This window comes from Homo sapiens, chromosome 13 (genome assembly GCF_000001405.40).
Source record: "Homo sapiens chromosome 13, GRCh38.p14 Primary Assembly".
Taxonomy (NCBI): domain Eukaryota; kingdom Metazoa; phylum Chordata; class Mammalia; order Primates; family Hominidae; genus Homo; species Homo sapiens.
This window is the reverse complement of record NC_000013.11, coordinates 114,177,030-114,191,043: the sequence shown is the minus strand read 5'-3', so window position 1 is coordinate 114,191,043 and position 14,014 is coordinate 114,177,030. Positions and strand designations below refer to the sequence as shown.

Here is a 14,014-nt window from a genome sequence, read left to right as displayed (position 1 = left end):
CTGGATTCCTCTTCTTCCATGTGGATGTTCTGTTGTCCCAGCACCATTTGTGAAAAGGCTGTCTTTGCTCTACTGTATTGCCTTTGTTGCTGTGTCAAAGATCAGTTGATGATTTGCCTATTCTTTCATTAATACCACACTGTGTTGATGATCATAGCTTTTAATAAGTCTCAAAGTCCATGAGTTTCAGTCCTTCAACTTTGTTCTTTTCCTTCAATATTAAATTGGCTTTTCTGGGCCTTTTGCCTCTCCGTATAAACATCAGAATGAGTTTGCTGATATCAACAAAACAACTTGCTGGGATTTTTATTGGGATTGCATTGAATCTATAGATCAAATTGGAAAGAACTAACATTTTGACAATATTGTATCTTCCTATCCATTAACATAAAATATCTCTCCATTTATTTACATTTATCAGAGTTTTGTAGTTTTCTTTATACAGATCTTGCACATATTTTGTTCAATTTATACCTAAGTATTTCACTTTTTGGGTGCTAATATAATTGTTATCATGTTTTTAATCTCAGTCGTCACTTGCTGGTGTATAGGAAAGTGATTGACTTTTGTAGATTAACCTTATATCCTTCATCCTTGCTATAATTGTTTATTCCTTCCACATGTCTTTTTATTGATTATTTGGTATTTTCTACATAGATGATCATGTCATCTGCCATCAAAGACAGCTTTATTTCCTCCTTCCTAATCACTATATCTTTTATTTCCTTTTCTTGCCTTATTGCAGTATCTAACATTTTCAGTACAATGTTACGATGTTTAAGAGGAGTGGTGAGAGGAGTGGTGAGTGCCTTGTTCCTGATCTTAGTGAGAAAGCTTCAAGTTTCTCAGTATTAAGTATGATGTTAGGTAGAGGTTGTTTTTCAGATATTCCTTTTTTTTTTAAGACGGGGCCTCCCTCTGTCTTCCAGGTTGGAGTGCAGTGATGCAATCATAGCTCACTGTAATCTCAAACTCCTGAGCTCAAGTGATCCTCCCATCTCCACTTCCCAAGTAGCTAGGATGGCAAACATGAGCCACCGCCTAGCTAATTTTAAAAATTCTTTTGTAAAGATGGGGTCTTGCTATGTTGCTCAAGCTGTTCTCAAACTCCTGGGCTCAAGTGATCCTCCCTCTTCAGCCACCCAAAGTGTTCTGATTACAGGGCGAGCCACCATGCCCAGCCTGGAGATATTCTTTATCAAGTTGAGAAAGTTTTCCTCAACTTCTAGTTTCCTTTATTCTTGGTTTATTGGGATTTTAAAAATCATGAATGAATGTTGGATTTTGTTAAATGCTTTCTCTGCATCTACTGATATGATCATGTGATTTTTCTTTTTTTAGCCCATTGATGTGATTAATTACATTGATTTTTGAATGATGAGCCAGCCTTGCATACCTGGAATGAATCCCACTTGGTCATGGCATATAATACTTTTTATACACTTTTAATCGAATTTGCTAAGTTTTGCTGTGGATTTTTGCATCAATGTTCATGAGAGATATTGATTTACTGTTTTCTTGTAATGTCTTTGGTTTTGGTTATAAGGTAGTGCTGCTTCACAGAATACATACAGGAGGTATTCCCACTGCTTCAGTCCTCTGAAAGCGATTGTAGAGAATAGGTAAAATTTCTTCCTTAAATGTTTAATAGAATTTGCCAATGAACCCATCTGGGCCCAGTGTTCTGTTTTGGAAGTTTAATTATTGATTCAATTTCTTGAATAGATATGGGTCTATTCAGATTGCCTATTTCATTTTGTGTGAATTTTGGCAGATTGAACCTTTGAAGAAATTGGCCCTTTTCATTTAGGTTATCAAATTTGTGGGCATAAATTTGTTCATAGTATCCCTTTATTATCCTTTTAATATCCTAGGGATTGTAGTGATGCTCCTTTTTTCCTTTCTTGATGATCATAGCTTTTTAATATTAGTAATATTATTACTAATATAGTTATATTATAACATAGTTATTATAGTTATATTATTACATATATACTAGTAATATAAGTAATAATATTACTAATAATAGCAAAATATTAGTAATTTGCCTCCTCCTTCTTTTTTCTTAGTTAGCCTGGCTACAGGCTTATTGATTTTACTGATTTTTTTTCCCAAAGAATTATCTTTTAAAGAACCAAGTTTTATTGATTTTTCTCTATCGAGTTCCTATTTTCAATTTCATTGATTTCTGCTGTAATTTTTATTATTTCTTTACTTCTAACTTTGGGTTTGTTTTTCTTTTTTTGAGTTTCTTTTTTTTTTTTTTTGAGATTGAGTCTCGCTCTGTTGCCCAGGCTGGAGTGCAGTGGCGCAATCTCGGCTCACTGCAAGCTCCTCCTCCGGGGTTCATGCCATTCTCCTGCCTCAGCCTCCCAAGCAGCTGGGACTACAGGCGCCCACCACCACACCCGTCTAATTTTTTGTATGTTTAGTGGAGACGGGGTTTCACCGTGTTAGCCAGGATGGTCTCGATCTCCTGACCTCATGATCCGCCCGCCTCGGCCTCGTAAAGGGCTGGGATTACAGGCATGAGCCACTGCACCTGGCCTCTTTTTTTGAGTTTCTTAAAGCAAAAACTTAGATTATTGATTTTAGATCTTTCTTCTTTTCTAATATATGCATTCAATGCCCTAAATTTCCCTTGAAGCACAGCTTTCACTGCATCCCACAAATTATGGTAAGTTGTGTTTCCATTTTCATTTAGTTCAGAATATTTTTAAATGTCTCTTGAAATTTCTTCTTTGACCTATGTGATTTTTTTTTTTTTTTTTTGAGACAGGGTCTCACTCTGTCACCCAGGCTGGAGTGCAGTGGCATGATCATAGCTGAAACTTCTCAGCTCACGTGATCTACTGCCTCAGCCTCCCTAATAGGTGGGACCTCAGGCATGCACTACCATGCCTGGTTAATTAAACTTTTTTTTTTTTTGTGGAGATGGTGTCTTGCTATGTTGCCCAGGCTGGTCTCAAGCTCCTGGGCTCAAGTGATCCTCCTGCCTTGGCCTCCCAAATTGTTGGGATTACAGGCGTGAGCTACTGCACCCAGCCCCCATTGTTGTTGTTTAATATTCACATGTTTTGGGATCTTCCAGTTATCTTTGTTATTGACTTCTAGTTTAATTCCATTGTGGTCTAAGAGTAGATATTGTATTATTTCTGTTCTTCTAAATTTGCTAATATGTGTTTTGTGGCCCAGAAGATGATCCATGATCTATCTTGGTGAATATTCCATGTGAGCTTGAGAAGAATGAGTATTATCCTGTTGCTGGATGAATTGGATGATAGATATCAATTATATCTAGTTGATTGATGATGACGTTGAGTTCAACTATGTCCTTACTGATTTTCTGCTTGTTGGATCTGCACATTTCTGACAGGGGGTGTTGAAGTCTCCAATTGTGATAAGGGGATTCATCTATTTTTTCTTGTAGTATCTCAAGTAGTTTGATATTCTATTGTTAGGTGCTTGCACATTAAGGATTATTATGCCTTTTTGGAGAATCGACCCCATTTTATCGTTCCCTTTAACTTTCCTTGTTTTGAAGTCTGCTCTAAAATTAATATAGTTACTCCAGCTTTCTTTTGACTTGTGTTGACATGGTATATTTTTTTCAATCATTTACTTTTAAGCTATATGTCTTTATACTTAAAATGGTTTCTTGTGGACAACATATAGTTGGGCCTTTTTTTTTTAATCTACTCTTACAAAGTGATTAATATAGTTGGATAAATAGCTATCATATTTGTTACTATTTTGTTTGTTACTCTTGATATTTGTTATTTTTGTCTTTTCTGCCTTTTGTGGTTTTAATTGAGCATTTTATATGATTCCATTTTCTCTCCCTTCTTAGTTTATCAGTCATACTTCTTTCATTACATTTTTAATGGCTGCCCTAGGATTTGCAATATGTACTTACAAATAACTCAAGTCCACTTTCAAATAACACTATATTGCTTAACAGGTAGTGTGAGTAACTTATATTACAAAATAATCTGAATACCTCTCTCCTGTTCCTTATCATTGGTGTTGTTATGGGAATCTTGAGGGTGTTGCCTTTCTGGCTGGAAACCTCTGTGGCTGGTGGCACCTTTGCCGAATTTTGCTCGGGCCCACTGGGCCCACTTGGACTGGCAGGCTGTGCTCAGCTCATGCTACTGGCCTGGATCCCATCCCTCTGAAGAGACTGGAGTGGAGTGGCGAGGGGTGTGTGAGTGAGTGAGTGTGGGGTCCAGTCACTGCACAGCCAGTCATGCCAGCTGCTGCAGTGAGATGGGCAGCTCCAGGTGCCAGCATGGGTGCTGGCTCACTGCGAGGCTGTGCCTGGACCAGGCATACTGCAAGAAGCTTCCATAGTTGGCACTGGGGAATGCAGTGGTGCCCAGAAGCTTGGAGGCTCCAGGAACTGCAGGGCCCCAAAGTGGGAGTCACAGCCCTGGCTCAGGGAGCTCCCAGGTCTGGGACCCCCCAAGAGCCTCAGCTCTTTTCTCCTTCTCTCTTTTCTCCTCTTCACCCACAGCATGGTGAACAAGGGGCATGTTTCAGCCCTGCTTGTGTTGCAGCTCTTTTAGCCCCACCACTTGATGGGTCCCAAGTTCTTGTCCTGCATCCAGGAAGAATGAGGTACGCAGACAAGTGGAGGGTGAGCAAGACAAAGAGGAGCTTTACTGAACAATAGAACAGCTCAGAGGAGACCCACAGTGGGCAGCTCCTCTCCATAGCCACGGTATCCTGACAAGTGTTCAGCTCTCAGTAGAGAGGGTAGCTCCTCCCTGAAGCTGGTTGTCCTGACGTCTCAGCTCTCAGCAGAGAGGAGACCTTGGGGTGTGCAGCTCCCCTCTGTAGCTGGTCATCCTGTCCTTTCTTCAGCTCTCAGCAGAGAGGGTAGCTCCTCCCTGCAGCTAGTCAGCCCATCGTCTCCCCATCATATCTCCATCCTCTGCTAGAGTCTGGCTGAGTCCAGGGTTTTTATGGGCCTCAGTGTGGAGGAAGTGCATGCTGATTGGTCCATGGGTGGCCATGGGCAGACCCAGGGAAAAGCACCACAAGTTCCCTCTCTGGCTTGCAGGACAGGCAGCTGGAACCCCAGGCTTCAGGCCCTCCCCAGCTTGAAGGTGGGGCTTCACCAGGAACCTGACCCCTTCTGCCCAGGAGTCCGTCTGCCTCCTGTTGCTGTTCATGGCACGCAGGCTGTTCATGCCAAGAGGCACGCAGCCAGCACTGTGCTGTCCTCTGCATCCCCCTCAGCCTCCCTCCTGTGCTTGTCAGTGCCCAAATCTGGAGGGGGCTGAGGTGGCAAGGGGCTGGCATGTCACTTCTGCCCTAAGTGTGGGCACACCCAGCCGGGCTGTGACAGTGCCTGGGCTTGGCCCCAACTTTTCTCCAAGATCGGAGCTGGTGCCAACAGTGGGGAGAAGCCAGGCAGTGGGAGCAGGCACTTCTGAGCCTGCGGGGAGACAGGGGGCCTTCCTGGGCTCCTGAGAGTGCAGAACCACACACATGCCTGGGTCCGCAGCCATGGCCAGGTGGCTGCAGCTGTACCCAGGGAGCTCCTGACATGCCAACTCAGAAGGGGTGGGGCTCCCACTCATTCCTGGCTCCCACAGGCTCCGTGGAGTGTGCAGCCCTGGCCATGCCTCCTCACAGCCGGGGTGGGGGTTCCAGGTCCCCACTGGGCCCCTCTCTGCCTGCTCCTGTGTGCCCAACTGCACTGCTCTCCCGTCAGCAGGCAGCTCGGCCTGGCTCCATCACAGCGGCTCTTAGGGTGACAGGTTCCAGGGGGCTCCCAGGGGTGGGCTCCGGGTACTGTTCACCTCTTTCCTGTGCCCTCCCTGCATCAGCAGGCAAGAGCGGTGACACGGGGCCAGAGTCTGCAGTGGTGGAGGCCCTGGGCCTGGGAGCAGGTCCTGCCTGGCCACACAAGGGTTGGGGCAGCACAGTTGGCTGCCTTGGGGATGTGGGACACAGAGGTCCCACCGCTGTTACTGCCACTCCTGCAGCTGCTTCCACCACCACCACCCATGCACCACCCCCCACCCACTGCAACTGACATGATGACAGTGGCTGCTTATTCGTTTCACTTATATTAATATAAAAGCAGGTGTATGTGTATCACAGATAGAGATATGCACATAAGTATACACAGTCTAACACCATGCAGTAATTATGGTTTTGAACAAACTTTTATCTGTTAGATCAACTAAGAATAATAAAAATAAGAGTTTTTATTTTACTGTTGCTTATTCCTGCTCTGATGGTTTCCTTTCTTTATGTGGATCTGTTACTGACCTACACCATTTTTGTTCTCTCTAAAGAATTTCTTCTGCTATTTCTTCCAAGGCAGGTCAACTGACAGATTTCCTCAATTTTTGTTTGAGAAAATGTTTATTTCTTCTTCACTTGTGACAGATAATTTCTCAGGGTACAGAATTCTAGGGTCTTGCTTCCCTTCCTCTGGACACTTCACATGTCTCCCTACACTTTTTCCTGGTTACCGGCTGGAGGAGGTGAGCGTGTCATTCTCATCTTCGTTCCTCTGTTGGAGTCTTGTTCCTCTGGCTTCTTTCAGGATGTTTTCTCTATCTCTGATTTTCTGTAGTTTGAACACGATATGCCTAGGTGTAGTTTTCTGGGCATTTATCCTTTTTGGCATTCTTTGAACCTCTTGGATCTGTGGCTTGGTGTCTGACATTAACGTGGTGGAAATTCTCATTCATTATTGCTTCAAATATTTCTTCTGTTCCTTTCTCCCTTTCTTCTCCTGGTATTCTCATTACAAGTAAGTTACACCTTTGTTATTGTCCCACAGTCCTTGGATAGCCTTTTCTGCTTTATTCAGACTTCGTTCTCTTTGCTTTTTAGTTTGTTCCTTGTTTGGCTGTTCGGCTGGTTTTTCTGAGACAGGGTCTCATTTTGTTGCCCAGACTGGAATGCAGTGGAGTGATCATGGCTCCCTGCAGCCTCAAACTCCTGGGCTCAAGTGATCCTCCTGTCTCAGCCTCCCAAGTAGCTGGGATTACGTGTATATACTACCATGCCCAGCTAACGTTTAAATTTTACTGTAGAGACAAGGTGTCTCGCTATGTTGTCAGGGCTAGTCTCAAACTCCTGGGCTCAAGCAATCCTCCTGCCTTGGCCTCCCAAAGTGCTGGGATTACAGGCATGAGCCACTGTGTCCAGCATGCTTTTCAGTTTTGAAGGTTGCTATGCCTCGAATGTTTGTGTCCCTCCATTGTTCGTGTGGAAACTTAATCCCCACTGTGGTGGTAATAAGAGGTGGGGCCTTTAGGGAAGTGACTAAGTCATGAGGGCTCTGCTCTTGTGAATAGGACTAATGCCCTCATATTAATAAAAGAGGCTTTAGAGAGCTGCCTGGGCCTTCCATCTCTTATGCCATGTAAAGACACAGCCATTCATCCCTTTTGTTCCTTTCACCATATGAGGATGCAGCAACAAGGAGCAATCTTGGAAGCAGAGCGTGACCTCATCAGACACCAAATCTGCTGGTGCCTTAACCTTGGATTTCTCAGCCTGTTGAACTGTGAGAAGTGAATTCTGTTGTTTATAAATGACAATCTTTGGCCGGGTGTGGTGGCTCACACCTGTAATCCTAGCACTTTGGGAGGTCGAGGCAGGCTAATCACCTGAGGTCAGAAGTTCAAGACCAGCCTGGCCAACATGGTGAAACCCTATCTCCACTAAAAATACAAAAAATTAGCCAGGCATGGTGGCACGCGACTGTAATCACAGCTACTTGGGAGGCTGAGGCAGGAGAATCGCTGGAACCCGGGAGGCAGAGGTTGCAGTGAGCCAAGATCACACCACTGCACTCCCGCCTGGGTGACAGAGTGAGACTGTCTCAAAATAAATAAATAAATAAATAATGACAATCTGTGATATCTTGTTGTAGTGGCAGAAATGGACTGAGACAGGGGTTTTAACTGATACGTCCTAAAGCTCAGGGATTCTTTCCTCAGGAGTGCCAGTCTACTAACAAGCCCATCCAAGAGAAGTCCAGGTAGCACAGGGAAGAGGAAAAAGGAGTTTCTGGAGATGGCAGTGTCTGGAGGTAGCAGTGAGTGCAAGGCTGGAGTTGACACCGTGGGCATTGTAGGGAAAAGAAAGAGAGATCAGACTGTCACTGTGTCTATGTAGAAAGGGAAGACATAAGAGACTCCATTCTGAAAAAGACCTGTACTTTGAATAATTGCTTTGCTGAGATGTTGTCAATTTGTAGCTTTGCCCCAGCCACTTTGACCTAACCACTTTGATCCAATCTGGAGCTCATAAAAACACGTGTTGTATGAAATCAAGGTTTAAGGGATCTAGGGCTGTGCAGGACGTGCCTTGTTAACAAAACGTTTACAAGCAGTATACTTGGTAAAAGTCATCGCCATCCTCTAGTCTCAATAAACCAGGGGCACAATGCACTGCAGAAAGCCGCAGGGACCTCTGCCCTTGAAAGCGGGGTATTGTCCAAGGTTTCTCCCCATGTGATAGTCTGAAATACGGCCTCGTGGGATGAGAAAGACCTGACTGTACCCCAGCCCGACACCGGTAAAGGGTCTGTGCTGAGGTGGATTAGTAAAAGAGGAAGGCCTCTTGCAGTTGAGATAGAGGAAGGCCACTGTCTCCTGCCTGCCCCTGGGAACTGAATGTCTCGGTATAAAACCCGATTGTACATTTGTTCAATTCTGAGATAGGAGAAAAACAGCCCTATGGCGGGAGGCGAGACATGTTTGCAGTAATGCTGCCTTGTTATTCTTTACTCCACTGAGATGTTTGGGCGGAGAGAAACATAAATCTGGCCTACGTGCACATCCAGGCATAGTACCTTCCCTTGAACTTAATTACGACATAGACTCTTTTGCTCACGTTTTTTGCTGACCTTCTCCTTATTATCACCCTGCTCTCCTACTACTTTCCTTTTTGCTGAAATAATGAAAATAATAATCAATAAAAACTGAGGGAACTCAGAGACCGGTGCTGGTGCAGGTCCTTGGTATGCTGAGCGCCGGTCCCCTGGGCCCACTGTTATTTCTCTATACTTTGTCTCTGTGTCTTATTTCTTTTCTCAGTCTCTCGTCCCACCCGACTAGAAATACCCACAGGTGTGGAGGGGCAGGCCACCCCTTCAGGCATGGCCAGCCTGGCTGAGGGGTCAGGTGCGTTGGGGAGCGCTGGGGGCAGGGGCCACTCAGGCTCTGAGGGGGAAGGCTGGGCTGAGGATGAGGCCCCTATTCTAGGAGGGCAGTCATCAGGGGACTGGGATGCACTGTTCTCCCACAGGTCTTTTTTCTCCTCTTATTTTATCTCCTCTTATTCTACCAAGGTCCTTTACAGTTTCAGAGATTCTCAGCCAAGCAATAAAAAACTAAGTTATTCAAAGAGCTGATTCTCTCCACTCTTAATTTGGGAGAAACATTGTTTGCATTCAAGTTTTAGTGCCAGTTGGAGAACTGTGGAGTGTTAGAGGGGTCCTGCTCATGTAGCTGCTTCCAGCCCCGGCTGCTCCTCACCCTTCTGCTGTAGCTTGCCCTTCTCCTCATTCAGTGGGGCCTGTAGCGTCAGGGCCCATCTTGCTCTTCTCCCATTTCTTTGTCCTAAATGAGCCCTACCCCCGTGGGACGGCTCTGCCAGCTGCCTTAACCTCCTTTGCCAGGTTTCATGTCCTACCCTCACGCCCCTCAGCATACCCCTGCCAGGACACCCAGGCATCATCACCACCTGTGTCTGCCCCTGCTGGGAAGCTGTGCTTTCAGTTGCCCTGTTCTTCACCACAACCTCCTTTTCATCACTTGGTCAGCTGTGCCCAACAGCAGTTCCTTACGATATGTGACTTCCAGTTTCTCTCTTTCTGGACTGGTTCTCTGTCTTCACTTCATCCCCTCCAGGTCAGACACCCAGTCCCTCTTTTCAACACTTTCGTGCCAGAATCATAGGTTCCCGGCCCATGCCCCTTGCTGCTACTCGGGGGCCACACTGGGGTGTTCCAATGACTCCATCCTTGGACCCAGTACCTGTAGGTTTCCGACGTCACAGAGCTGCTAAACTAGCTTATGCCCCCTGGGGCCTCATGGCTCCAGTCAACCTACCAAAGTTCACTATTCAATCATCTCTGCACCTCCCATGACGACAATTTCAACCTTCTTTACCTTACAGTTTCTCAGGTACAGAGCCTGGTTACTCACTTAGGCTGCAGGATTACTGACCAGCTACCTCATGCAGGAGGTATTCTAGTCCCCGGGATACAAAAGCAAACAAGAAAACACCCATGGGGTTTCTATCCTGTAGTATTACTGTAATGCTAACTGATTCATATGTGCTATTGCCTTACCCACTGCTTTCCATCTTTCCCTACTGACAACGGTTGACCAAGTGCTCACTCCACACTCTACGTGCAGAGAACATCGTGGTGGGCAGGACGTGGTCAGCACTGAGTGGGGAAAACAACACAAGTAATGAACATGCCCATCAATCACGTGGCAACAGGAGGTAGCAGGCCCAGGAACCAGAGAGCGGCAGAGGGGAGAGAGAAGACTCCAGGGAGATGATATTGGAACCGGAGTGCCAGGAAGTGAGGTTGAGCTGGGGAAGGAGCCGGGAAGAGTTCCCAGTGGGGACCTCAAAGGAGACAGCAGGTGCAGAGGCCTGACGTGGGGTGGGGGCTGGGTGCTATGGCGCCTTGCAATGAGTGTGACCTGCAGCCCAGGCCACACAATGTCACTTGCAACCCTAGGAGGAAGAGAAATGCTTGACCTGCAGTTCACTCCTTGGGGTAGTCACTTAAGATCATTACAGGGCAGTGTCTCCATTCCCAGAAACAGAAACCCAAACTTCTCCTTCTTAAGAGTATTTCCAGCCTGATCAACACACATGTGGAGACATGATACATGGAACATCGTTCTCTGACGCCTCCACTGAGGTGTGGGCAGAAGACTGTGGGAGGCCACCTCAGATCTGCATGGCGATGCCCTCAAACAATTGTCCACATTTGCATCCAATAAATGGAAATAATAACATATCTTCTAATGGGGACAAGGGTTGGCTTTTAGTCCCCCTTGGAGTCCACTGTTTTGATAGAGAAAAGGATGCCGGGCCGGGCACGGTGGCTCATGCCTGTAATCCCAGCACTTTGGGAGGCTGAGGCAGGTGGATCACCTGAAATCAGGAGTTCAAGACTAGCCTGACCAACATGGCAACACCCCTATGGCAACATCCCTCTCAAAAACAAACAAAAACAAAAACAAAAACAAAAAACAAAAAGAAAGAAAAAGAAAAGGATGCTTCTGGTGTTTTTGTCTTAAGATGCTTTCAAGTCACTTAGGAAAAATTAAGTACTTCTTAAATATATGCTGTGATTAGAAATAGGATGGCCCTAAAACATGGCACATGAAAGCTGTCATCTCAAAAAAAAAAAAGAAAGAAAGAAAGCCGTCAACTATTTAATGAGATTTTTATTGTATGGCAACATAGATGATGAATCTTGTTAGGAAATGTCATTTCAACCATGCTGTCTCCAAAAAGAAAATCACCTCCAGGACTCCAGGGAAAGCAGAGGCATTTCGTGGGCGCTGCTTGGTGCCCGCCCGCTGAGCTGTCAGGGCTGGATTGGGGACTTTCCTACCTTTCTCCTGTGGTCCTGATAGGCTTTCTCCCTTGCATGCCACAGGTACTCACTGGCACAGGGAAAGGTCAGCCGGGGGGCTCCGTGCATCTCAGCAACAAAATCGTCTTGCTCATTCCAGACAGAGGAGCAGCTGGGGCCTGGTGCAGACCTGGAGACGCTGTGTTTGCAGGGTCATGTGACAGTTGTCATGGCGTCCAAGGAGGGGGAAGAACGGGAGCCAGAAGACAGTCTGGGATTCTCAAACAACACGCGAAGAATAATGGTGAAGAGTGGGATCTTCTTCTCCACTGGGGTGTTTTTTTTTTTCAGGAGATCTTGGATAGTTTAGTGTTGCCATTTTGATGCCACTCCTCAGCTACAGAGGAAGGAGATAATCACACATAAGATCCGAGAAATTCTCCAACTAACCTTCCTCCTGCCCACCCTTCCTTTGCTCCTTGCTGTCTTCCTCTCCCCTACCTCTTTCTTCTGCCCTTCCTCCCAACCTCTCCCGCTCTCCAGTTCTTTCCTTTCTTAATTAGTACCTTTCTTTCTGCTTTCCTTATCTCCTTTCTCTTCTATCTTGAATAATTTATATAATTCAGACAATTCCAAAATATTTGTTTGAAGGTTAGGCAGCAGATCCTCCCTAATTTTTCTGATTGACTTGAAGACGAGTTATGCAAAGGCTTAGCTGTTTTAAGCCACCCTCTCTCCATTGCTCTAATCAGGTTGGGATGGGTTTTTCCTGAGACGAATGGAGTGAACATGGCGCTAGGACAGCTGTCGGTCGTTTCATCTTCGTTGAAGCCACGTGCGCAATGTTGGCGACGACACATCAGAGGATTTGGTTAATGAGAAAATAGCATCATCATTTTCATGTCAGAGCTGTGGTCTTCATTACACTACAGCTCTCATCACATGAGACTCCAGTGCAGAATCCATGGATGGGAACTCATTGTTCAGCTTTGCATATGTGAGGAGCAGATACAGGGCATTTCATGAGAAATTTGCTCTGAATATTAGCAGGATGTAGTGGCTGCCAGTCTGAAAGAAAGAATCAGATCTGGAAGTAATAAGATGTGAGTGAAGCCAAAATATGACTTTATTTCCTCCCCTGCCACTCTTGAGGTGGCTGAGGTGCTCTGTACTCAGCTAGCTCTGATGATCTTCAACATTTGGCAGAAGCCTTTATAGGCTGTTAAAATTGTTGATTTAATGAAAATTTTAAAGTTGCCTGGGTTTTTGAAAAGAAAAATTTATTTTAATACATAATTGTTCACAAGTATTAATTTTTAGATAACTTGCATATACTGTAGAATTTAGATGTAAGAATTCCTACCTAGAAATACAACCAGCACTTTAAGACATGAGGCTTAGTTATGATTTCTTAGCCTATACAATCTAAATGTTACATTCAGAGGAATTCTATTAGAATAATCAATTTCCTTTACTCTGATATTGTCATTGGTCAAAAATGACTAGAAAAAGCCTAATATTCAGTAGGTGCTCAACAAATACCTAATATTCAGTAGGTGCTCGACAAATACCTGACAGTCATGCTGATGGGAAGTAGTGCTGTCCATGCTATTGGCTGGTTCCTCAGCTGGGACTCGGAGTCAGACCGTGGGGCTGTCTTCCCTTGTTCCTTCATCCTGTGTGCTGAGAAGCCTGACTGTGCTTGCTGCTGCCATCGGTTGGTGGATGGAGGAGTGAGGGCTGTGCTCTATGTCTGCTCACACTCACATGGATAAAGCGTGCATTGAGGGCAAAGTGGACAAAATATGTGACGTTTGAAGTTTTTGTTTTTACAGTGTGGGGATTCACAGTGGTTTGGATGCACACACTGTTTTTGATGCTCCTGGTCAAATGAAGTGAGCTCAGGTCAGGGAAGGAGTCCCAGCTGCCACCCACGGCTGCCACCCACGGCTGCCACCCACGGCTGTCCACCCACGGCTGTCACTCACAGCTGCCTCCCACAGGGAAGGAGTCCCAGCTGCCACCCACGGCTGCCACCCACACTGTCCACCCACGGCTGTCACCCACAGCTGTCCACCCACAGCTGCCACCCTCAGGGAAGGAGTCCCAGCTGCCACCCAAGGCTGTCACTCACAGCTGCCACCCTCAGGGAAGGAGTCCTAGCTGTCCACCCACAGCTGTCACCCATGCTGTCCACCCATGGCTGTCACCCACAGCTGTCATCCACATGGAAGGAGTCCCAGCTGTCCACCCACGGCTGCCACCCATGCTGTCCACCCACAGCTGTCACCCACAGGGAAGGAGTCCTAGCTGCCACCCACGGCTGCCACCCATGCTGTCCACCCACGGCTGTCACCCACAGCTGTCACCCACAGGGAAGGAGTCCCAGCTGCCACCCACGGCTGTCACTCACAGCTGCCACCCTCAGGG

At 46.0% G+C, this 14,014-nt stretch overlaps 1 protein-coding gene across 5 annotated transcripts in view, besides 2 other annotated features; it reads right to left on the bottom strand.

Moving 5' to 3' along the window:
• CFAP97D2 (CFAP97 domain containing 2) overlaps window positions 1-11,787 on the bottom strand; it is a 43,829-nt gene extending 32,042 nt beyond the window's left edge. For all 5 annotated transcript variants that reach the window (NM_001437370.1, XM_047430025.1, NM_001395230.1 and 2 more), the window contains exon 1: window positions 11,624-11,787. In NM_001437370.1, coding sequence (NP_001424299.1) covers window positions 11,624-11,713 — 90 coding nt within the window. In that variant the 5' untranslated portion in view covers window positions 11,714-11,787. The remainder of the gene's footprint in view (window positions 1-11,623) is intronic.
• Window positions 3,742-4,333: an enhancer, noted in NCBI's record as "H3K27ac-H3K4me1 hESC enhancer chr13:114952186-114952777 (GRCh37/hg19 assembly coordinates)". NCBI's record gives its function as "activates a minimal SCP1, AML or CMV promoter by ChIP-STARR-seq in naive H9 embryonic stem cells {active_cell/tissue: H9 hESC(naive)}" and the evidence as "EXISTENCE:reporter gene assay evidence [ECO:0000049][PMID:30033119]".
• Window positions 4,927-5,518: an enhancer, noted in NCBI's record as "H3K27ac-H3K4me1 hESC enhancer chr13:114951001-114951592 (GRCh37/hg19 assembly coordinates)". NCBI's record gives its function as "activates a minimal SCP1, AML or CMV promoter by ChIP-STARR-seq in naive H9 embryonic stem cells {active_cell/tissue: H9 hESC(naive)}" and the evidence as "EXISTENCE:reporter gene assay evidence [ECO:0000049][PMID:30033119]".
• Window positions 11,788-14,014: the final 2,227 nt, after the last annotated feature.